We start from the raw sequence: 24,473 nt of genomic DNA, 5'->3' as shown, positions 1-24,473 counted from the left end.
CAGAAGCTAGAATGCAAGTCCGCAAGGACAGTCCTGACTGCATATTTCTGAAGTTAATTTACACTAGGTGCTGATTCTATTTTTCCTTCAATTTTGATTGGCTTGTCTGCAAGTACTTGTGACTTTTTTCCTACTTGATGCTGAACATGATTCTATTTCCCAAGAACCTTTGTGCCGTCAGTCCAGTGTGATGAGTCGCCAACAGGTTTGAATTTGGCGTCCATGGTGAGATAAGCCACGAGTGCAGTGCAAAGCTGTGTCTGTCTTTGCTTGTCCTCTTGTATTTCCCCTTGGCCCGTTTATTTACGTAATTTTAAAAGTTTGTTTCCTGTCTCTTCAATCGTTGTGGAGCAGGAAGAAGACTTCATAAGTAAGACTAGAATAAAATCAGGTCATCCACGTGAATAATTCCCATGATTTTCTATCTGCATTCTTACTCACAAGCTCCACTTTGATGCAACTGTTTGCATCAAGATCTAGAAAAAGGCATACGTTTTCATTTAAATGAAAAATATCTCAAAGAACTAAGAATGACCAAAGATGCTTCCTCATACCTAATTCCAAAATTTACTGTGCTCCATCAGAAGCTATTCTGTGAGTTTATGTGTGGCTGCGAACACAAACTCTTCCCTTTCATCCTCACAATCCCATTTCTTCAAGATACCACTCGTAGCAAATACACATACATACACACACAAACACACATGCACACATATACACGCGAATGCACACACACAACATACACACAGAGAGAGACACAAACACATGCACACACATACATGTACATACGTACACAAACACACATGCACACATATACACATGCACACATGGACAGCATCATGCACATCCTTTGTTTAGCCCCCACAAAACTACAAAGCAACGGCCCACCTGCACACACACAACATGCACACAGACACAAACACATGTGCGCACATATGTACATATGTACACAAATATACATGCACATGTATATACTCATGCACACACAGACACACATGCACACACATAGACATAAACACATGTACATATGTACACATATACATACATACCTGCATATATACACATGCACATGTACACACATGTACATATGTACACACATACACACCTGCACATTGCATAACATGTACACATAAATATAGCATGCACATGGACACACATACATGTACCTATGTACACAATGCACATGCACTCATATAAACACACATGCATACGCACATACACATGCACAGAGACACACCTATAAATATGCACACACATACACACATTCCCATGCATACACACATGCATATACAAATGCACACACTAGCACACACTCATACATATACACACATACACATGCACGCACACACACGCATATCACCTACACAGTGCACACACACACATATAAACACATATGTATGCACACACTCACACACTCCACCCAGGAGGACGCAGAAATTTCTACTCCCCATAGTATTAGAGAATGTAAGAGCCAGGCCTAAGGAACTGGAAATGGAAAATAACCGTGAAGATCTCGTGAAAACATCCTCCAGTCACCAAGGACAGCAGAGCCTTCACAGCTCCCTCATTAAGCGCCTGCCTGATGGCAATTTTTATAGAGGTATATTAAACTGTTTACGATTAAAATGGATCTTTGAAGTAATTAATAGTTTGCCCTGGTAATTTCATCACATTTTGCTGCCGGATGGCAATTATGATTTAATTATGATCTCCTGATGAAGAACATATTAGATAATTCTTCAGATAATTTCCCTTTTATTCCTGATTAGGGAGCAAGGTTAGGAGAGATACAGGGTTATGGCTTTGCTGTAATCTAATTTTCCGACTTTGAAAATAGAAGGTTTTCCGGGCTTTAAAGTTTGCTAAGAGGAGACAGAAATGGCGACAGACGTCACATCTGAACAGTGTCCTCTGTCCTTTAGAACAACGACAGGTCCCGAGGACTCTCGGCACTGCAGGAAACTGGATGGCTGCTCTTTCATTAACGTGGAGACTCAGAAAATGCAACAGATGGGGACGCAACAGATACTTCTCCCTGGATTTCCTTCCCTGAGATATGAGGGGTTCAGAAATACAGAAGAAAAACCTGCAGTAATGAAAACAGCAGGGCAATTCCCACCGCGGCCGGAGGTCTCCGGGTAGGAATGCAGGCGGGCATGGAGGGGAACTGACTCCACGCGCACCTGCCACTCACAGGTGAAGCTCACAGACGGTCATGGGAGGTAGGGGAGCCTTTCCAGTTCCCAGTCAGACTCAGCTCCCTGAATGCAGGGCCCCGCTTTACACCCCGACTGTGACTCAGAATTCCTGGTGCTCTGAGACAAGCTATGAGTAGCTTGTCATTAAATACCTGAGGAGTTGAATGCATGATAATAAATAGGATATTGGAACTGGAGTACCATGTCAGCATCTGGTTTGTTATTTTCCTTTTCTCTTTAAAAAATCATCTCTTTGTGTGTTTGCAGCCCTTTCTTGACCACTTCTTCTTTTCCATTTTTTTTTTTTCTGTTTCCTCAGCTTTTCCCCTATCTGTCTTGAAGGAAAGGTGCTGAGTATCTGATTTTCCACGTCAGTACGACTCTATTCATCACCATGCGAGGCTCTGGCCTGGGGGCACAGTGGACAGAGTATTCACCCCTCCCGGGGCCGGCTGTCCATCACCTCCACTGCATCCCGAATGCAGGCTGTCAGCCCAGCTGTCTGATTTCCCACGGCGGAGAGCAGGCTTGCGTGGAGGCGGATGCGTGAGGGAAGGAAAGTGGCTCCCCAGCCTCCAGCCATCATGCAGTGCTGCTCGGTGTTCTCACAGGCGCGGCCCTTGTACCTCTGCACGTGCCTTTGAAATTCAGATACTTTAACATTCTCACAGAATAGACAGTGCATATTGACAGAAACTCAGCTATTACTGCACCGGAAACCATCCATTCAGCCAAAAGTTACTATGCAGGGTTATAGTTAGGTATACCAGTGATCTGGCTTGGAAAAATTCAAAGGCCAGAACCAAGCCAGATTCCACTCCGGATGAAACTACTTGGTTCATATCACGACAGGCGTCAGGAAGTCGCCTTCCTCTTCTCAAACACCCCGCTGACTTGACTGAACTTCAGATTATGTAAAATGCCTTTGGATTTTCCAGTTAATGCATGTGTAGTGAGACACATAACGGATCCGTGTTCTATTACTACACTAGGGTGTAAGCCTTTCCGGGGTTACTGGCACAGCCACACGACAGAGCTGGAGGCTCTAAAACAGTCCCCTCTGAAGGCGCGGGAACCAGTGCTCTCTGCTGATAAAAGAGCAGAGCCATCTAGATCCAGGAGACGGAAATGGAAAACCCCAGTTGGGTGAGGAAAAGCACCTACCGATTTCCAAGAAATTGGAAGTCACATGAAGAAAAATTGTCCAGTAACAATAGCAAAGTCCTTTTCACAGGGCTTAAGAGTGCAACCTCAGCACTTTGCATATTGATGGCAGAGAGGAGAAAAAAACCCACATGCTGTAAAACACAGGTGTTGGACGGAAACACCACTACAGGAGTCTGAGAAAGGGAGGCAGCCAGAGAAACAAGGCCAGGTGCAGGGGCTCAGACCCGAAATCCCAGCACAAGAAACAGGGCTGGGCGCCGGGGCTTACACCCGAAATCCCAGCACAAGAAACAGGGCCGGGCAAGGGGACTCACACCCAAAATCCCAGCGTGAGAAACAGGGCCAGGCGTGGAGGCTCATAGCTGAAATCCCATCGTGAGAAACAGGGCCAGTGTGGAGGCTCACACCCGAAATCCCAGCACAAGAAGGGCGTAAAGGCAGGTGCCTGTGGTCCCAGCAACTTGGGAGGCTGAGGCAGAGGGATCACTTGAGCCCAGGAAGCCGAGGCTGCATTGAGCCAAGATTGTGCCACTGCACTCCAGTCTGGATGACAGAGTAAGACCCTGTCTCAAAAAAAAAATTAATTTAAAAATAAAACAAAGCAAATCCCAACGAATAAGCTGCTTGTGCAACCCCAGAGCCAGCCAGGGAATTCCTCCTACTTGATACTGTGAGCTGGGACACTGGGGCTTTTCTGCCTTTTGATTTGAACTGAAGTGTTGGCTCTTCCTGGGTCTGGTGCCTGCCAGCCTTCAGACTGAAACTCACACCTTCACCTCCCCGGTCTCCAGCCCAGCCCATTGACTGCAGGTCTCAGGATGTGTCAGCCTCCATAATCAGGTGAGCAAATTCCTTGCAATAAATCTCTTTAGATATATAGATACAGATACAGATACGTATAGATATAGATACAGATAATAGGCATAGATACAGATAGTTATAAATAGATATACAGATAGGTATAGATATAGATACAGATACAGATAGGTATCGATGCAGACAGAGATAGATACAGATACAGACAGGTGTAGATATAGATACAAACAGGTATGGATATAGATAAAGATAGATAGGTATATATAGATAGATAAAGATAGATATAGATATAGATACAGATAGGTATAGCTACAGACACAGATAGAGATAGATACAGACAGAGATAGGTATAGATATAGATAGACAGGTAAGATATAGACACAGATAGGTATAGATATAGATACAGATAGGTATAGATAGAGACACAGATAGCTATAGATACAGATAGGTGTAGATATAGACACAAATGGATATAGATACACAGATAGGTCTAGATACAGACACAGATAGATCTAGATATTGATATATAGATACAGAGAGATATAGATAAAGACACAGATATAGATACAGACAAACATAGGTGTAGATATAGACATACATAGAGATACAGATCCTATTGGTTCTGTTTCTCTGGGGAACTCTGACCAATAAAACAAGTCTTTTAAATTAAACAAAGTCCAACTGTAATCCTGGGATTTTGACCCATACTTGGTGGTAAACTGCACACTCAGATTGTGAGTAGGGCGAGCAAACAGAGGCTGCCCAATTGTCCCCACATACACACATGAGGGCAGCATGGTGGCCCCCACCAGCCTCTGTGGCTGCAGCAGCCTCTGACCTGTCAGACGGGAGCTTCTGCCCTCCACAGAACTTGCTCGTGATACTTAATATGGATTGTCAACCTGATTGGATTGAAGGATGCAAAGTATTGTCCTGGGTGTGTCTGTGAGGGTGTTGCCAAAGGAGATTAACACTGGAGTCAGTGGGCTGGGAGAGGCAGACCCACCCTCAATCTGGGTGGGCACCATCTATTCAGCTGCCAGCACGGCTAGGATAGAAGCAGGCAGAGGAAGGTGGAAGGACTGGACTGGCTGAGTCTTCCAGCCTCCATCTTTCTCCCGGGCTGGATGCTTCCTGCCCTTGAACATCAGACTCCAAGTTCTTCAGCTTTTGGACTCTCGGACTCACACCAGTGGTTTGCCAGGGGCTCTCAGGCCTTTGGCCACAGACCGAAGGCTGCACTGCCGGCTTCCCTATTTCTAAGGTTTTGGGACTCGGACTGGCTTCCAGGCTTCTCAGCTTGCAGACGGCCTATTGTGGGACCTCACCTAGTGATCCTGAGTCAATTCTCCTTAATAAACTCCCCTTCATGTATACACCTATCCCATTAGTCCTGTCCCTCTAGAGAACCCGGACTCATACAATGCTTCAGCGGAACACTGACCAGGAGGCTGGGTGCTTTCTTCTCTCCTGGCCAGGGCAGTACCCGAGGAAGGCTTGGATACAGGGGCCAGGTAAGAGCTTTGGGGGTAGAAAGAGGATCATGGCAGGAGAGAAACAGGAGGCCGACGCCTGGGCTGCCCTGGCCGTGCAAGCCAGACCACATGGGGTGCGGAACAGCGCCCACCGCGGCCGCTTCCCTACTGCCTGCTCTCCGCCATTGGTGTTAATTCACGGATGCCTTTCCACACAAAGGCCCTGTTGTCTTCTGCATATCACACATCTTATTCCTGGAACCCGTCCTCAAGGGTGTAACTCCCCCGGCCATGCAGAGGCTGGCGGGGCTGCCCTGTGTCAGGGCCTCCACGCCATCATCAGCCTCTGGCCCCTCCATCAGGACCACCCCTGTGCCCAGCCATGCTTTCCATTCACCGCGAGGCCTCACTCTGCCATGAGCGGTAAACATCTCCTCTCTCTAGGCTTGATTCTGACGCCTGAATCCACGAAGCCCTGTTCCATGGGGGCTATCAGGATCCTGGAGTCCTTCCGTACAGTTCTCTCCCAGGTTTTTACGTTCAGTGTTAGGGCTTCAGAAATAATATCAGGGGCCAGTGTGAGCCCTCAGCATGAGTCAGATGGTGGAGTGTCATCCTGGGGACTCTAGTCTCATGGCCATAGTTCACGACATGCTGTAAGTTAAGGGAAGAAGGGTTACTGTGTTTTTCCACCAGGATTACCATCAAAAACACTACGTGAAAAGTACATACCAAAACACTGATGCAGTTCCTGCCTCTCATTCAGTAGAAATAACACGGAAGAGGGTCTCGCTCTGGGGTGTCTTTGATGCATATTCATTTCTGATTAAGATCTCAAAAAGGAACAGGAGCGGTTTAACTGCTGACAGTTTCAGGCACACCAGAGCTGCTGCAGATTATCTGCTCCAACCACATCCTTTTATGGACCTGGTCTTTCAGGACCAGAAAGTTGAAGGAAGATTCCTGCAGTCACAAGAGAAATAATTACAAAACCAAGACTCAGATCCATGTCTCTCGACGTTTTGGTCCAATGCGAGAATGAGCACCTTTATAAGACTAAAGCCAGGGTGAAAATTTTCTCTCTCTGGATTCCTGCTCTTGATGAGCAACTGCAGGTGTTTTTTATTTTGATTATTTTTGTTCCTAAGCAAATAATTACCTATTAATCTTTTTTAATCAATTAAGCTATAGTTCTTCATTTCAAGGAATCTCATTAAAAGTAATGGTCTTTTCCTGCAGGAATTTAATCTTGTTTTATTTAAATGTTTATTTTTATAACACCTTCAAAAAGCCTGAAGCAGAAAGGGAATAGTTCTGATGGGACAGGGGTGATTTGTGACTGTGTCATCGCCATTGTCAGTGTTACACTAATATCATTTTTATGAAATGGAATTTTTTTCCATATTTTACAAATTGGTAAGTGTTATTGCCTCTTTTAAGAAATTTCAAGCTATAGAATATGAAGCACTGTCTAGAATCATTTTCCACCTTTATTTCTGGAAGTGCTTCTGGATTATTGGTGCTCCTAAGTGAGTGTGCAGCAGGAAAGGTCTGTGTTTTGACTCCGTGGAGGCATGGGGACTTGGTCCAGGGGTGCCGTCCCCACGTCTGAGATGGCATGTCTTACATAAAGAGGCAGCAAGAGAGGAAGCCAGTGCTGATCATCCTGAGAGGGCTCAGTCAGAGACTCACGCTGTACGGTAACTTTTCAGATCCTTTATTCTTCTCAGCAGCAGGTTATCTTTGTCAAATCAGAATTTACTCAGAAGCACATGGGAAAGCCATGAATCCACATTTGCTCTGGTTGAGTCGGGGCTTGGACGACCGAGACCACGCTCCTCACCATGGTTACCCATCCAGGAAAGACTCAAAGAGGGCTCTTCAGAAACTCTAGGACTCACTGGAGCAGACTGAACATTCCAGATGTAATCAAACCGATTAATTTTGCAGATGAGGACAGTAAAGCTGAGAAAGCCCGGCCCACCCACCTGAACTCCTCAGTATGCTGGCTCATGGCCGTGGCCAGAATCCACATGCTCCTGGCTGCCCTCTACCTCGGGGCCGTTTTCAAGTACACCAAGATTCTGATTCTGATGTCTGAATCCACGTACTGAATCAGATTCAAGTATGTGTCTCCAGATCACAGTTCTTCTGTGGATGAGCTGTCAGCGGGGCTGACCCCTGAGCGCTCTGGCAGCGGGGCCAGGCACAGGTGCAGGGCCCCATCCACCCCCAGCCAGGCCCTTAGCCCCAGGCCCCACGTCCTGTCTCTACAACCGCCTCCCAGCTCTGCTGATGGAAAGCAAGTGGGGGTGGGGTTTTCCCAGCTGGGTCAGCTCTATCAGTAGCTTGCTGAGGACCCCGTCACTCAGAAGTACGACCCTGCAGCCTCCACTGCAGGAAAGCCACCGTGAGAGGCCGGTGTCAGAGGCCTCAGGGCTTTTCCAGGACTTTTCAGCAACAGAAACCTGGGAGTTTTATCCTAATAAAATCAGAGCTGGGAACGATGCATGCCACACAGCTGTTCTAGGAAACTACCAGAACCTATCTTTAGCCCCACTGGCATGGACACAGCCTCTTCACAAGCCGGGTGTGTCTTTGAAGAGACTGGTGCCTGGAAGGGACTTTTGTACAGTAGAATAATTTTTTAATTAAAAATTTATAAAACTTCTACTGTATCTTTTATGTCTCCAATATATTAAAGAAATTGCTAACTGTATCAACCAAATGATTCAGATTCAACACCAGTTAATATGAAATCTAGGAAACAGGTTGTAAAATGTCAATTAAGAAAAGAAAATGAATTAAAGAAAATGCACAAAACAACAAACACCCAAAGATGTTCAGCTCAAATATAAACAGGTTAGTTTCATCATATAATTGCTGGAGTAACTTGTTTTTTAATAAAAATAGGAACTATGTATAATATATCATGTAGCAAATTGTTATTATAATTGAGTCATTTTTAAGTAGCCAAATAATTAATATAGTCCTACTGTTTTAATTGTTCCCTGTATAGAAGATATTTTTCAGAGTGCACAATGAAAAATAGTAACTTGCTCTTAAAACTCAGGTGATTGAATGACGTGTATGAGGTATAACATTTACCAGAGTTGGGTGATGCTTAACTCTCTGAGTGAAATGTACAAGCCTCATTAAAAATTAATGAAAACCTCAGTGATGTTATCATTCATTTCCCCTAAAGGGCTGTCATCCTCTTCTTCCCATCAGAAATTAGTGTATGAAGTCTAAACTCTACATGAAGTCTAAACTCTACGCATTACAGTACAGTGTAACTGGTAATATAACCTAAGAACTGAGAGATTTTTTCAGAAATAGTCTTGTCTAAAATTAAAAATTGAATTATTTTTCTTACCTAGAATTCTCCTTAAACTGGAATCAGTCTTCATAATGTGGAGGAATTGAAAGAACATCAGGCAACTTTTCCTTTAAATATCTAAGGATTTTTAACAGAAAAAATGGTTTCTTAGCAATTCAGTTAACAATAATTATAAGATGGCAGAAACAATGGCCAAACTTCCAGGTAAGAAAGCAAATGCTTTTCAAACACTTTAAAAGTTCTGTTTTACATAAAAGCAATTAATATGTTAATTACAAACAAATCCCATTCATCTATTAATTCAAGTCTTATCCACAGTTGAAGTTCAACCTCCTTCAACTTTCTGTGTGTGATAAAATCTATAAAAGTCCTTCTCTGCACTGCTCTGTATCCCAGATGTATGGTACCTCTTAATCATGATAATAGTAAATTTGAACTTTAATTAGATAAGTGTTTGCTATACATCAGGCACTTCGTTAAATACCTGACTACAACCTTAAGTGGTCTTTTATTCCACAAATAATTACCAAGTTCCTAACTCTGTTCTAAGTGCCAGTAATAAAATAATGAGCACACGTAGTACTGCCTTCATGGGGCTCAAAGGCTAGAAGGTTGGAGGAAAGACAGGCACATGGGTAAATATGGAAAATAAGCATGCTGTTAGGAGGTGGATATGCTTTCATAAACAAGAGACAATTATTGCCCCTGTTTTATAATGAAGGAGCTGGTATTAAGGTAACTTGTTTGAGGAAACAGGGTTAAAAAGCCACAGATGAGGAATTTAATTAGCAGTTTGTCAAACTCTACAGCCAAACTCTTAATCACTGTACCTTGTTACTTGACCATGACTTGTATAGAGTAATATATACATATACACAAATATGCATAATATACACACATAACATATATTTATATAATATACATTATGTGCATATATACATATATATACTGTGTGTGTGTGTGTGTGTGTCTGGGGTTGCTTTCTATTAATTAGGATCAGTTACTCATTAATTCATTCAAAAACGTATATCAAGTGCCTGGCTTGGCTCAGACATTATAAATACAGAAATGAATAAATATGGGCTCTGCCTGGTTGTGGCTTATCTCAATCAGACTTCACAGGTGGAAGGAAGGAAGGAAGGAAAGGAGGGAGGAAACAGGAAGGAAGAAAAGAAGGAAGGAGGGAGGGAGGGGGAAGGGAGGGGGAAGGGAGGAGGAAGGGAGGAAGGGAGGGGGAAGGGAGGGGGAAGGGAGGGGGAAGGGAGGGGGAAGGGAGGAGGAAGGGAGGAAGGGAGGGGGAAGGGAGGGGGAAGGGAGGGGGAAGGGGGGGGAAGGGAGGGGGAAGGGAGGGGGAAGGGAGGGGGAAGGGAGGGGGAAGGGAGGGGGAAGGGAGGGAGGGAGGAGGAAGGGAGGGGGAAGGGGGGGGAAGGGAGGGGGAAGGGAGGGGGAAGGGAGGAGGAAGGGAGGGGGAAGGGAGGGGGAAGGGAGGGGGAAGGGAGGGAGGGAGGAGGAAGGGAGGGGGAAGGGAGGGAGGGAGGAGGAAGGGAGGGGGAAGGGGGGGGAAGGGAGGGGGAAGGGAGGGGGAAGGGAGGAGGAAGGGAGGGGGAAGGGAGGGGGAAGGGAGGGGGAAGGGAGGAAGGGAGGAGGAAGGGAGGAAGGGAGGGGGAAGGGAGGGAGGAGGAAGGGAGGGAGGAGGAAGGGAGGGAGGAGGAAGGGAGGAGGAAGGGAGGGAGGAGGAAGGGAGGAGGAGGAAGGGAGGAGGAAGGGAGGAAGGGAGGGAGGAACGAAGGAAGGAAGGCAGGGAAGGAGGGAGGGAAGGAGGGAGGGAGGGGAAAGGGAGGGGAGGGAGGAAGGGAGGAGGGAGGAAAGGAGGAGGGAAGGAGGGAGGAAGGGAGGAGAGAAGGAGGGAGAGAGGGAGGGAGGAAGGAAAGGAAGGAAGGAAGGAGTGAGGACTACTGCATTTGTTGCTGCCTCTGAAGGAGCCCAGACAGAGCTGATGGCCCCTGCAGCAAGCGAGACCTACTGTTCACCTGGCAAGGTCCTGTTGTTTGACCAATATTGTCTCCTTCAGTCCTCACAAGTTACAATATATCAGCAAATTGGAATGGTTTTCATAAGAATAAGTAAAGGAAACATTAGTCATTTATTAAAGAACACAGCAGACACGTGGCCTACTATTATGAGTTATTTGCATTGTGAAGAAGGATATGAGTATGGCAGCTCCTGTAACTGGCAGAGTCTCCAATCTTTGCTTCAGTCAAAAGCCTGCTGGCCAGGTGTGGTGGCTCATGCCTGTAATCCCAGCACTTTGGGAGGCCAAGGCAGGCAGATCACCTGAGGCCAGGAGTTAGAGACAAGCCTGGCCAACATAGCGAAACCCCATCTCTACTAAAAATACAAAAATTAGCTGGGCATGGTGGCAGGTGCCTGTAGTCCCAGCTACTCAGGAGGCTGAGGCAGGAGAATCGCTTGAACCTGGGAGGTGGAGGTTGCAGTGAGCCGAGATCGCACCACTGCACTCCAGTCTGGGTGACAGAGTAAGACTCCATCTCAAAAAAGAAAAAAAAAGAAAAAAAGAAAAAGGCTGTTGCCATCTTATCTCTAAAGCCACCATGTTGACTATCTTAAAAGCATGCCTCGATTCACATTTGAAGTCTTAACCAAGCCCTGTCCTATGGGGGCCTGCAGTGTTCTCAGGTCTGTCTAAATGAATATTATTTGGGGGTACTTTTTTACTTGTCCTTTCAGCACCATTGCTTGCTAATGATCATTTTTAGAACCTGCATCGTTTACAAACAGACATTAAATTCTCCACCCCAGCCAGGAGCTCTAATCCGCCCCTCCTCCTCCCAGGCTTTCTGCAGCTCCACTTCATCTCCTGAGATGTTTTCTCAGTGCCGCATTTTTAAAGCAAGGAACATCCTTCTTATTTTAATCTCCCTTCCTCCCACTTCTTTACTTGCACTGTTTGGATAAATAACTTCAACTTGGAGAGAATGATAAACATGGATCAAAAACAACAAAAGAAGCAAATGACTTCCTACCTACAATGCGGCATAACAGAACTAATCATCTCCAGACATCCACCTGATTTATAGGTGCAAAAAATGCCCGTCTCAGGATGTGTTTAATTCCAGAACGTGTACTGGGAACACTGAATTTAAAGTAATTAAATAGGTGTCTAGTTTTTTTAATAATGCCATTTGAAATGCAGCCACGCCTGTGGGCCGTGGGGGCGGGGCTGAATGAACAGTGGTGTGATCTGGAGGGAACATGGTGAGTTTTCAAAATCACATCTCGTGTGATTGTGGCCTCAGCTGGGATCAGAGCTCCCATACTGCGGAACGCTGGGGAACAGGCAGCCTGGACCAGAGGGCTAAGCTACCACACCACCGCACAGGATGAGATTCATTAGCTTTCTTTCCTATCTTTCCATAACCTGGGTGTGAACAACTTTTGCACATTAAAACTTTTGACTTAGATGGCACACACACCCCCGACTTCAGAACAGCCAATAGAATTATAGTCCACAGCAAACTGTTGGGCTGTAAAGCTTATATGGGCTGTTCTGAAGCGTAACTGTGAATCAATTAAAACTTTTTTCTTCATAAATTACCCAGTCTCAGGTAGTGTGAGAACAGACGAATACATTACACAACTGTTATAATTGCTTTGTTTCAGGTGAGGAAAATGAGGCTCACAAGAGTAAATAAACTGCCCAGCATAAACTACCGACTAGGGCCAAGCCAAGAGGTGACCATCAGTCTGACTCCAAAACCCACGTGCTAGTGTCTCGAAACAAAGCAACGTGTCAGTCAAATCAGTGCTGTGGAATACAACAGGCACTCATTAAATGCCTATTATGTGAAAACATTCATTTACTCTACAGTTTGGGGGTGAATGAAATGGCTAAAACAAGAACAATACAAGCAGGAGAATCACTTGAACCCAGGAGGTGAAGGCTGCAGTGAGCAGAGATCACACCACTGCACACCAGCCTGGGTGACTGGGAGACAGAGCAAGACTCTGTCAAAAAAAAAAAAAAAGAACAGTACAAGCCAACATTATTAAATGTATTTGCAGATAAAGTAGCAGACCTGGATAAAGAAATAATTTTGTAGAGACAAATAACAGTGACTCTCCATCTGTAAACCTCTAGATTCATATGTCAGGTTGTTATAACTTGCACCAAGTACCACTGAAGGGAGCAAGTCAAAGTCCGTTGCCTCTTATTTTTTTCAGTGAGTCTTTGAAAATGCAAGCTGCACAAAAAGGCCAGACAACTGAGAGGAGTGTAGTCTCAATCTCATCTACACGAGCATTTACACAGAGAGAAGACCAGATCCCTTCCCGATGATCCGGTTTCATTGCCCCCAGTGACCACTGTGCAGAAAGGAAAACTGGCTTCACCCTAGAAATTTTACCATGCAGCAGTCAGGGGTGCCTCAGGCCTTCAGAAGTCCCCTCTGCTCTGTCTCCCTCACTTGAGACCCTAGGGACACCTTGCTAGTTATAAGCCTTTTCTTTCGCCTGGAAACCCATGGGCTTAGCCACATGAGCTAAGTCTCATGTGCAAACACCAAACACCATGAGGAAAGTGCAAGAGCAGTGCTTCTCTGTGAACACAGTGCAGGGCAGCTCTTTATGCAAACTACAGCGTTGAGCTAATTCTTCTGTCGGCCAAAACCTTTCAATGTATCCCATCATATGAAAATGGTAGGTGAACAGTTCCGTTCCAGAAGCTTCCGGGTTAGAAATGGAGCTACACAGCATGGGCCATTGCTTGTGACTCATAGCTTGAGAAAGTGGAGGGCGTGACCCCCACATGGAGAACCAGAGACATGCTATGAACTTCCACCCAGGTGACAGAGACGACGGCCATTCACATGTCCATTGAATCCCCATCCCTGACTCCTCACCTCGTAGCAGCTGAGAAGGCAGCAGCTTTTTCTCCGAGCTTCTACTTGTAGTTTTATTTGACTGTGTCTTCTGAATTACAGTTCAATAGTCCCATGATGTTGAAACTTCCCCATTCCCTTAGCTCTTTATTCCTACACTTTTCTTCTTTATCCATTCTATTTCCTTATATGTGCTCCTCATCACACCCGGGATAGTATACTGAAGAATCCAAAAATCCACCTGACACTTATCTTTGAGTTTCTGGAATAAACACTTTAGTATAAATCATTGTTTCCAAGATGCGCTTCCCTGATCACCACTTTAGCCAAAAGTTAGCTGCCGTTATTTCTCTTCTTTCAAATTAAATATTTTATCAAGATGATACATTAACATATTCTTAAGTCAACTAGAACTATTTGGCTCATACTAATCACAAAAAAGACACTCCTCAGATTCTTAGAAGCAGACACTCTAAACTCTCCACCTGCTATTACAGGTATAAGAACATTGTATTAATGCCTTGCAGGAACAAATGCAGCCACTCTTGATTACTCCTGCTAGTGGGAATATAAATAACTTGGGAAAACGAAATCCAGTGAGCTCAGAAGCTTTCTTCCCCCATTTATTTCAACCTTTCCACCCTGCAAGCATTTGACAAGCACCACTAACAAGCAGCAAAACGGACTGGCTGATTCCATCTTCTCTCCATCCTTTCCAGCGTACGGCTCAGGTGCGGAGGACATGAACCGACTGGCTGATTCCATCTTCTCTCCAACCTTTCCAGCGTACGGCTCAGGTGCGGAGGACATGAACCGACTGGCTGATTCCATCTTCTCCCCATCCTTTCCAGCGTATGGCTCAGGTGCACAGGACATGAACGGACTGGCTGATTCCATCTTCTCTCCATCCTTTCCAGCGTCTGGCTCAGGTGCAGAGGACATGAACGGACTGGCTGATTCCATCTTCTCTCCATCCTTTCCAGCGTCTAGCTCAGGTGCAGAGGACATGAACGGACTGGCTGATTCCATCTTCTCTCCATCCTTTCCAGCGTCTGGCTCAGGTGCAGAGGACATGAACGGACTGGCTGATTCCATCTTCTCTCCATCCTTTCCAGCGTGTGGCTCAGGTGCAGAGGACATGGAGGCATTCTGGGGCATCGCATCCCTCCACGCCTTGTCATCCACCTCAGGATGCCTCCATGTCCTCTGCATCTGAGCCACCACCTGGCGACCCCACCTGCCCCTGGTCACGCCTCCACCTCCATATTTCTTTTTAAGAAACTTACTACGAAAGCCCCTTCCTCTCCCTGTCTCTTTGTCCTCATCCTCTTGACTGACTCATTAAGAGGTCTGCATGAGCACTTAGGCCTCCCTCATGTAAAAAAGTACATTTTAAGTCTTTTTTGAAAAGCTGGTTTTGCCCTCACACTTTCTATCCTTCTCATGACATTTGAATGAGAAGGAAAAAATAACAGTACAGAGGGTCATCACCCTTTATGGAATCAGATTGCGGAATTTACTACTGAAGAGACCCTGGGGAAGTTACTGAACTTCTCAAAGCTGCCTTTTCCTTATCAATGAAATGGGGATTGAAATGTCATGTACTTTCTGGGTTACTGTGGAAACTAAATGAGATCATGTATGTGATAACCTAGTGCAGTCCCAGCAGTCTGCTATGTGACCAATAAAGTGAGGACTTTTGGGTTCTGCATACAGAATTTCAACAATAGGCTGGGCGCAGTGGCTCACACCTGTAATCCCAGCACTTTGAGAGGCTGAGGTGGGCAGATCACCCGAAGTCAGGAGTTCGAGACCAGCCTGATGAACATGGTGAAACCCTGTCTTTACTAAAAATACAAAAATTAGCCGGGTGTGGTGGCACATGCCTGCAATCCCGGCTACTTGAGAGGCTGAGGCAGGAGAATTGCTTGAACCCGGGAGGCAGAGGTTGCAGTGAGCTGAGATGGCACCACTGCACTCCAGCCTGGGCAACAAGAGTGAAACTCCGTCCCAAAAAAGAAAAGAAAAAAAAAACTTCAACAATAACCCCATTTCTGTCTTGGCATTTATTCTCTCCCTCTGTAGTTTTTGATGATCATGACTGTCTTCTTACTTACTGATTTCTCTCTCATAGCACATACCACGCCAAAAACAGAATAAGAAAATCTGAATTTTAAATTTAAATTACATTTAAAAACCCACTACTATTTTTACATTTAAATTTTTAAAGCAGAGATAAATCTTACTTCAACTTGAAACAAGATACATGGAAATGTTAACACAGTGCTGAAATAGACACAAGAAAAGGCCAAGAATGAAAATACAGAGTTTTGAAATCAAGTATATTTAGGGTGCACAGTTTAGAAGGAAAAGATCCTACATTAAAATACTGCAGAAGCGACTAGGCACGGTGGCTCACCACTGTAATCCCAGCACTTTCGGAGGCCAAGGCAGGCGGATCATGAGGTCAGGAGATCGAGACCATCCTGGCTAACACGGTGAAACCCCGTCTCTACTAAAAATACAAAAAAATAGCCGGGCGTGGTGGCGGGCACCTGTAGACCCAGCTACTCGGGAGGCTGAGGCAGGAGAATGGCGTGAACCCGGGAGGCGGAGCTTGCAGAGAGCCGAGATCGCACCACTGCACTCCAGCCTGGGAGACAGAGCAAGACTCCGTCTCAAAAATAATAATAATTATTATGATTATGACTATTATTATCTATATATACACATATATATTTTACAGAAGCACGGGCAGAAGAAACATTTCAACGAGAGGGAGAGGAAAATCCTCGCCACCAGACAAAACAAGGCATTAAAGGGTGAGACTTCCAGACACAGTGGTGCCGAGATATGGCCAGTTTAGTGCGATGTGTTTGCCGTGTAATGAGAGAGATTTTGTGGAAAGAAAAATAATAATAAGCAGGCCGTCTTCATCCCAACGCCACTCCCAAACGCACCTTTTGGTGTCAATCTTTCTAATCGATTTTAAATCCAGCTGGTGCATGTCCATATGATTGCAATGATTGCAGAAGGGGTGTTCCAGTTGGGGGATTATCCGAGCATCCTGCCTCTTCCCTCTTTTCCCTGTTTGTGATTCGCCTGCTCATTAGCACGAGTTTGAAAGGATGGAGAGATGGAATCAGCCAGTCAATTTCACTGCTTGTTAGTGGTGCTTGTCAAATGCTGGCTGGGTGGGAAGGCTGAAATAAATGGGGGAAGAGAGCTTCTGAGCTCAATGGCTTTCATTTTCCCAAGCCACCCCTGCTCCCATTAGCATGGATCATTGAGAGTGGCTGCGTTTGATCCTATGTAATCAGATAATCTGTAGGGAAATGGAAATTTGATTCCTATATGTCTCTATTTTAGATGCTTAGAAAGCACATCTGCAGAAGCACTGCATTGCTTAATTTTGAGCAAACTGCAAGTGGAAATGAGAAGCACTAATGAAGATATTTGTTAGTTCATTATGGGGGAAGACTCACTTATCAGAGAATTGAAAACAGGCAATTTTTCTGGTCTCAGGGAAGAGCGCAGGAGAAAGCAAAATGCATTTAGAATCTAACTAAAGAAACATTAAAAGCATAAATGAAGTATGAGATTCACTTACAGCCTATTCAATAACAGTTAATATGTCAAGGATCCAAATTTCGGCCCCTCACAGGACTCATGCAGAGACCGATGATGTCACACATCAGAGAACGTGGTAAAGTAGATGCTCTGTGTGTGTGAAATTCAGCTCTACACCTGACAAGCTTCCCGGGTTACTTTACACATCCCTGTCATCACACATGGGAGTCACGGGACCTGCGCTGTGTTCTCAGTGCCCAGACAAGTGGCACAGTGCCCTGAACACAGCGATCATTCCCAGGCCTGGGGTCCCTCCTGTAAGGTATCAGTGAGACTTGCTGCCCACTGGACTCTGCTCAGGTGGATGTAATCCCTGTTCCTCGCAGATACCTTCAACCAGAGTAAAATGACTCTGAGTATCCGTCTTGTGGAAGCACCTTCAGGCCCTCACACCACATGCACGATGTGGCCTGCCCACCGGACCCCTGGAACTCAGACCTTGCATTGTTGATGGACAGCCCAGTTCAGAATCAGGGAGTCAGGAAAGGGGTGTTTCCCACCTGTAGAAAAAGGAAAAAAAGAAGGACAGGCAGAAAGACAGATGGGAGCCCAAATACTACTTCAGTCTCTAGGAGCCCCTCCAACATGAGTAGTCTGTGAATGTGTAAAGAGTAAGATGTGAAATAGGGATACATATGCATATGCATAAATCAACTCTGGTAAAGACAGGAAAGGTATTTAAAATAGAACGTAGCAGTGGCATTATCTGGAGTGGGGTCAGTGACATGTGACTGCTGCACAAAACCATCAGCTCCCTCTCAGAGGAAAGGCCCGCATCCACCTCCCCACAGCCCCCGCGCACTCCGTCTAGGTGATCGCGTGTCCCCATCAGCTCCCTCGCAGAGGAAAGGCCTGCGTCCACCTCCCCACAGCTCCTGTGCACTCGGTTTAGGTGATCATGTGTCCTGAGCTAACCTAGAAGTGGTGATCAGCCAAGGCATCTCACGTGGAAGAGCCGTGCTGGCCCTCTGTGGGCTGCTCTGATGACAGAGTCCAGCGCCACTCAGGTTGGCCTTCAGATGTTCTGGAGAGGCCACTGGCATCTTCCCCCAGCCGACAGGCATGAGGGGTTTCACGGACTGGGGAGGGAAACACAGAAACCTAGAGTTTGGAGACCTGGGTCGCAACCCTACCACTTCAACAAACCAGCCCTCATCGCCATCCACAAAGGGTGACGATGAACTGGGTTACACATCGTTGTCATAAGATTCTAAAGTGGTCCTTTAAAAGCAGAGAAAACTAGACACGAATTGCATATATGGTGTTAAGCAATTTGACTCAGACAGAAAAGTGTCCCCACATCATCTCATTTTCACCAACACACTGTGACATGATTCTCCTCTGTGAAGCCACAAAGGCAGAACAGGGAGCGACTGAACTTTTGTGTCTTCCTCGGACTCAGCACGGACCCTGATGGGGTGGATCGGAACACGTTGGTTGCATGAATAAAGGAGACTTGCTGGTCTTGGTGCCCTTCTCAGCAAAACAAGCTCATGTGTGACTTACAGAGTTTTCAAAGAGGCTCCTGGGAAAGAGAAGAAGGCGTTTAGAGGAACATGAAACCAAAATTGGCAGGAGGAAATGTTTGGCCCTGACGTTCCTGTCTCCCTTGCTCTGCGATTGCGCAACTATTTCATTGGCAGGAGACTCGTCCACACCCACACCCACAGTGCTCGAGGCTCATCCTCCTCTTGAGTCCACGCCTCCATGCGATACAAAGGAAAACACAGAGGACACCAATTCCTGGCATCTGACTCCTCGGGTTTCAGTGAGATTTCTACCTGTTTTAGTCTCAGGCATGGGCTACACACAGAGCATCCTTCATCCTCCCCTGCTCCTCTCCAAGGAGGTATCAGGGCACAACTGCCCATGGCTTTGCATGGATGAGGACACCTGCTGCCAGCTCCCGTCCACTCCTGGAGAAGACGGGGTCATTTAGGAGGCAGAAGCAGATGGCCAAGTCCACAGGTTCCCCAGTTCCCCTTCCTGGGCTGGGGTCCACTGTGCACACCTCCAGTCCAGGATAGACAAGCCACACCACTGCCAAAACCAGCTGGAATCCACTGGGTGCCCCAGAGAGCCACAGCCACTTTACCCAGGACAGGGCACCTTGCATGCACCCCTCCAAATGCTCAGAGGCCACCTGGGCAGGTGCAAGGTGGAGGCAGAGAACCGGCAGGACTGAGCGTGGACCCACAGGAACTTGGGCCCTCAAATGAGAAGATGTGAATGGGAAAGCCTGTGACCAACACCTGAGTCAGCATAAAGTAAGAGAGAGTGTGTGTGTGTGTGTGTGTGTGTGTGTGTGTGTGTGTGTGTGTGTGTCATGACCCAGCAAGATGGCAACTCCTCTGGAATGGAGTATGAAGACGACGCAGATGTTCCGAATCTCCCAGGAGGCCGGGAGCACTTTGCCTCCCCAACCCGGAGCCACAGCTTGCAGAGCCGCCCCTGCCGGATGCCGGCACCCCCACTTCTCAGGCTGCAGCTGTGCCCACGTGATGCCCAAAGCCATGGCCGACGCCCGGTGCCATCACTTCCCCACGTGTCCCCCTGATAACCTCGCCGGGTGCCATCAGTTCCCCACGTGTCCCCCTGATAACCTCGCCGGGTGCCGTCACTTCCCCACATGTCCCCCTGATAACCTCACCCGGTGCCATCACTTCCCCACGTGTCCCCCTGATAACCTCGCCGGGTGCCATCACTTCCCCCACGTGTCCCCCTGATAACCTCGCCGGGTGCCATCACTTCCCCACGTGTCCCCCTGATAACCTCGCCGGTGCCATCACTTCCCCACGTGTCCCCCTGATAACCTCGCCGGGTGCCATCACTTCCCCCACGTGTCCCCCTGATAACCTCGCCGGGTGCCATCACTTCCCCACGTGTCCCCCTGATAACCTCTGAATTTCTTCCTCACATGCAAGAATGAATTAAGAAGACAGACTTTTAGAGTGGGCAGGAAACTCAGAGACTGTGTCACCCAATCCCCTCACATTAAAGCTGGAGAGGACACGACCCAGAGACACAAGGCACGTGTCCCCAAACCACACAACGGATCAATGTCACAGTTGATGCTGACATCCAGTCCTCCTGGCTCCACAATTATTTCTGCCACTCCAGGCTGCCTCAATTCAGCTGCACAAGATGTAGGCTATATAAAAATATGTGATAATCTATAGGAAGTGCTCTCTCATAAAAGGAAGGCAGCCAGCCTAGAGAAGGCACCTGCCCAGCTCCCAAACTCACACATAAGAAGGTCCTCGTCACAAGTTGACGCCCACACCAGCAGAGCCAGCAGCAGGCCGACAAGGAAGGCTGTCCTGCAACAAAGCCAAGGATGGCCTCGGCTCACTCACTCACCCGCCAAATGTCTGAGTGTCTTTTACGTGCCTAACATTGTTCTGGTTTGGGGGAATGGATGTGGATTGAAAAAGATTACACCAAATGCCTCCACTATTTAACAATAACAAGAGCAGCCAACGGTTTAGAAAATTCACAGTAGGTTCGTTCAGAAGTTCCAGGTCATGGTCTGTGAAAATAAAGAACAACAGAATTAGGAAACCACAGAGTAGAAAGCAGTGTCAGACTTTATCAAATCCAGCCCCTGTTTTATTTAAAAAGAGAAAACAGAAGCGAGTTCCCCCCGAAGCTGCCTCACTGCCCATCCCAGCTGCAACCCAGGCAGGTGTGGGAAAAACACCATTGTCTCTGTCTCCTCACTCCCAGCTCTTCCCTGGAAAGCAAGTGGATTTTCTAGGAATCTGTGAGTCAGCACATAACTCGCTTTGTTTCTGGAGCAGAGCACATGGAAGCGGGGAAGGAGCATGGACTGCAGCCTCCGCAAGTGTCACGACACGCGCCTTTGCTGCTTACTCTCTGTAAGCATCAAACGCCAAAAAGGCGTTTTTTCCATCCTAGGGAAGGGACCCACTTCCCTTCACGCCATCCAAATCCCAGAGGAAAAGGAAGAGAAATCTACATAAGCCACTTATGTCTCTTTTTCTTCCAGACGTTCATTGTTTCCTAGCCAACCTTGTCACAGACCTTCGGTGGTACCCTTATGAAACTTCCATTACACGTCCTGATGACCTCCTCCCTGCACTATGAGACCTATGATTTCAGGGAACTTTCCAGGAGTTTACTCCTACACAAATAACTTTTTTCTCCTTTTGCTTGTTTCTTTCAATATAACTTTCCTAATTACATCAACCTCTCCAAGACAACCACTCCTCACTGCTCTCAAACTAGAACACCATTTAAAATACCAGATGCTGGCCTCTGCTGTCCAAAAGTCAGTTACACAAAAGCCTCCCAATAACCCGAAAGAAAACTCCCCCACCTCTCCGGGAGTCTGTTTCCCATGTGGCAACACTGGACACTGGATGAAGGCTTGTCCTAACCCCCGGCCTCCACCAAACCATGCCCAACTGGTAGTCTTTGGGGATGTTGGAAAATAGACTGCCTCCAGTGGGGACACCTTCCCTGTTCGGGTGCAGCTCATGATGAAGCCCCCAGACCATTACAGGAGGAAATCTCATCACTGCCGGCACTCACCACGGAGGACTGAGCATGCCCGGGATCCTTTACCCCCACTTCCAGTGAGTCCACGGAACCCAGGGTAACTGGGATGGTGTCTGGTAATAGGCCGTGGTGACAAATGAACAGTTTTTAACTTCTGACTTTTTCAAACTTCATAGGAAAGGAAGAGTAGGAAAGATCAGGTCTTTTTAGGTTGCGTGTTGTCTGTGTGACTTGGTGGGGTCTTAATTACAACATGCAAGTGGGTTGGAATGAAAAACATACAAGGGGATGCTTTTAGTTGCTTAAAATTCTTATCAATAAAATACATTGGAAATGTTTGTATTTCCATAATTGATCAGTTTGTGCATTAATGTCAAATTAAATAAACACCTTTTGCTTTATATTTTTAAAAACTTTAAACAGCAAGCCGGAGCTGATGAGTGATGTTAAAATCCACAAAGTCCTGAGACAGGGCTTCAGAGTCACAGGTTTTTATCCATGAAGCACACTGGGAATGTTTCCATTTCCAGAATTGATGAGCTCACTGATGATTCTCAAATTAAATAAAAGCCTTCGAACTGCTACGTAAAAAGTCTTGAAAACGTGAATGGCAAAAAGGGCGATTCCAAAATCAGCAGCAGCAGCATGAGCTTCAGATGCACGGGACTGTTGAAAGGAATCGCCGAAGCCCTCGTATTCGGACAAAAGGGGGCTTTACAGAGCCTCCTCGTTTATTACGTGGAGTCACAGCCACTCCGTGCAGTTGCATGAGCCGCCCAGGACTCTTAACCACGCCGGGGACGCAGCCCAGAAAACAGGAGCAGGCTGTGTGCGGGGGTCCCCGCCTGAACCCCAGCTCTGCCACGCCCCAGCTCTGGGCCTGAATCCAGCCGAAGTTTCTCCCTGGCACAGCGGTGACGGTGACGTCTACCTCACAAGATTGTTGGGAGGGTTACCTGAAATAAAGCATGCAAATGCCTCCACTATAAGGGTTTGAACCTATGGAAACCCCAAAACAAGATGAAAGGAAAACCAGTAAGATGCACCTATGCCTATGTATACATAGGGTATATGTGCCCATACGAAACTATCACACTGGTAACACCACGAATGTATAAACAGTGAGTCCACTTCTGCAGGAAAATATTAATATCGGCCAGATGTTGTGGCTCACACTGTGGGAGGCTGAGGGGGGCGGATCGTTTGAGCCCGGGAGTTCAAGACCAGCCTGGGCAATATAGCAAGACTCTGTCTCTTCTAAAAATACAAAAAGTTAGCTGGGCATGGTGGTGCCTATAGTTCCATTGCTAGAGCCTGGGAGGCAGAGGTTGCAGTGAGCCGAGGTCACACCACTGCACTCCAGCCTGGGCAACAGAGAGAGACACTGTCAAAAAAAAAAGGAAGGAAGGAAGGAAGGAAGGAAGGAAGGAAGGAAGGAAGGAAGGAAGGAAGGAAGGAAGGAAGAGAGGGGAAAAAAAGAAAGAAAAGAAAATACTAATGTCATAAAGTAGTATGCAAAATTGACACCTAAGGACATTTACTTCAGCATTTTTATGATTAAATGCCAAGAACCACCCAAATGTCCAAAAGTAGAGGAAGCGTCAAGAAACAGACACGTATTATTCATAGGAAGGGACACTGTGATATCTCCTGTGGGAGTGTTGTCTCTGGTTACAACTGATAACGCTCCCAGTCCTCACACACTGAAGCGGACGGCGAGTGGACAGCACGGAAACCACCCCTGCGATTCGGCACAGGCTCACGTGTACACAAGGAGGAAAGGCGTCAAGAATTTCCACTCTTCATATTCACTTACACAGTGTTTGCTGTTGTGGCTGTTTTGGTTTTCTTATTTAACTTTTAAGGTCAGGGGTGCATGTGCAGGTTTGTTTCATAGGTAAACTCGCACCGTGGGAGTTTGTTGTGCAGATTCTTTCAGCCTCAGGTATAAAGCCTAGTAACCATTATTATTCTCATCCCCTCCCTCCTCCCTCCTCCCGCCCACCACCCTCCCTGGGCCCCAGTGTGGGTTGTTCCCCTCTGGAGGGTAGAGGGTGGAAGGAGGGAGAGGATCAGAAAAAAACAATTATTGGGTAGTGGCTCAACACCTGCTATGAAATAATCTGTACAACAAACTCTCATGACATGATTTTAACTATGTAACAAACCTGCACATGCACCCCTGAGCTTAAAAGTTAAAAAAAAAAATTTCTTTTTAGACAGCGTCTTACTCTGTTACCCAGGCTAGAATGCAATGGTGCTATCTGCTCACTGCAACCTCCGCTTCCCCAGTTCAAGCGATTCTCCTGCCTCAGTCTCCCGAGTAGCTGGGATTACAGATGCCCACCACCACGCCCAGCTAATTTTTATATTTGTAGTAGAGACAGGGTTTCACCATATTGGCCAGGCTGTTCTCAAACTCCTGACC

At 46.6% G+C, this 24,473-nt stretch overlaps 1 long non-coding RNA gene across 2 annotated transcripts in view, besides 2 other annotated features; it reads right to left on the bottom strand.

Annotated features, from left to right (window-relative positions):
- Positions 1–5,519: 5,519 nt before the first annotated feature.
- LOC105377781 (uncharacterized) overlaps positions 5,520–24,473 on the bottom strand; it is a 39,852-nt gene continuing 20,898 nt past the window's right edge. Inside the window, exons 1-5 of one of the 2 annotated variants that reach the window (XR_941355.3) lie at positions 17,855–18,024; positions 16,855–17,097; positions 9,033–9,113; positions 6,389–6,619; positions 5,520–6,310 (exon numbers count right to left, since the gene is read on the bottom strand). This is a non-coding gene — a long non-coding RNA (uncharacterized LOC105377781). Of the gene's footprint in view, positions 6,311–6,388; positions 6,620–9,032; positions 9,114–16,854; positions 17,098–17,854; positions 18,025–24,473 lie in introns of those variants that run through there. The other variant, XR_941356.3, reaches the window with a different exon arrangement.
- Positions 20,012–20,192: a silencer, noted in NCBI's record as "fragment chr8:2130059-2130239 (GRCh37/hg19 assembly coordinates)". NCBI's record gives its function as "represses an EF-1alpha promoter that drives an FKBP-Casp9 reporter gene in an ReSE screen in phorbol 12-myristate 13-acetate-treated (for megakaryocytic differentiation) K562 erythroleukemia cells {active_cell/tissue: K562(+PMA)}" and the evidence as "EXISTENCE:reporter gene assay evidence [ECO:0000049][PMID:32094911]".
- Positions 20,843–21,343: an enhancer, noted in NCBI's record as "H3K4me1 hESC enhancer chr8:2128908-2129408 (GRCh37/hg19 assembly coordinates)". NCBI's record gives its function as "activates a minimal SCP1, AML or CMV promoter by ChIP-STARR-seq in naive H9 embryonic stem cells {active_cell/tissue: H9 hESC(naive)}" and the evidence as "EXISTENCE:reporter gene assay evidence [ECO:0000049][PMID:30033119]".

The sequence above is a fragment of the Homo sapiens genome, chromosome 8, assembly GCF_000001405.40.
Source record: "Homo sapiens chromosome 8, GRCh38.p14 Primary Assembly".
Taxonomy (NCBI): domain Eukaryota; kingdom Metazoa; phylum Chordata; class Mammalia; order Primates; family Hominidae; genus Homo; species Homo sapiens.
This window is presented reverse-complemented; position numbering and strand designations above follow the sequence as displayed.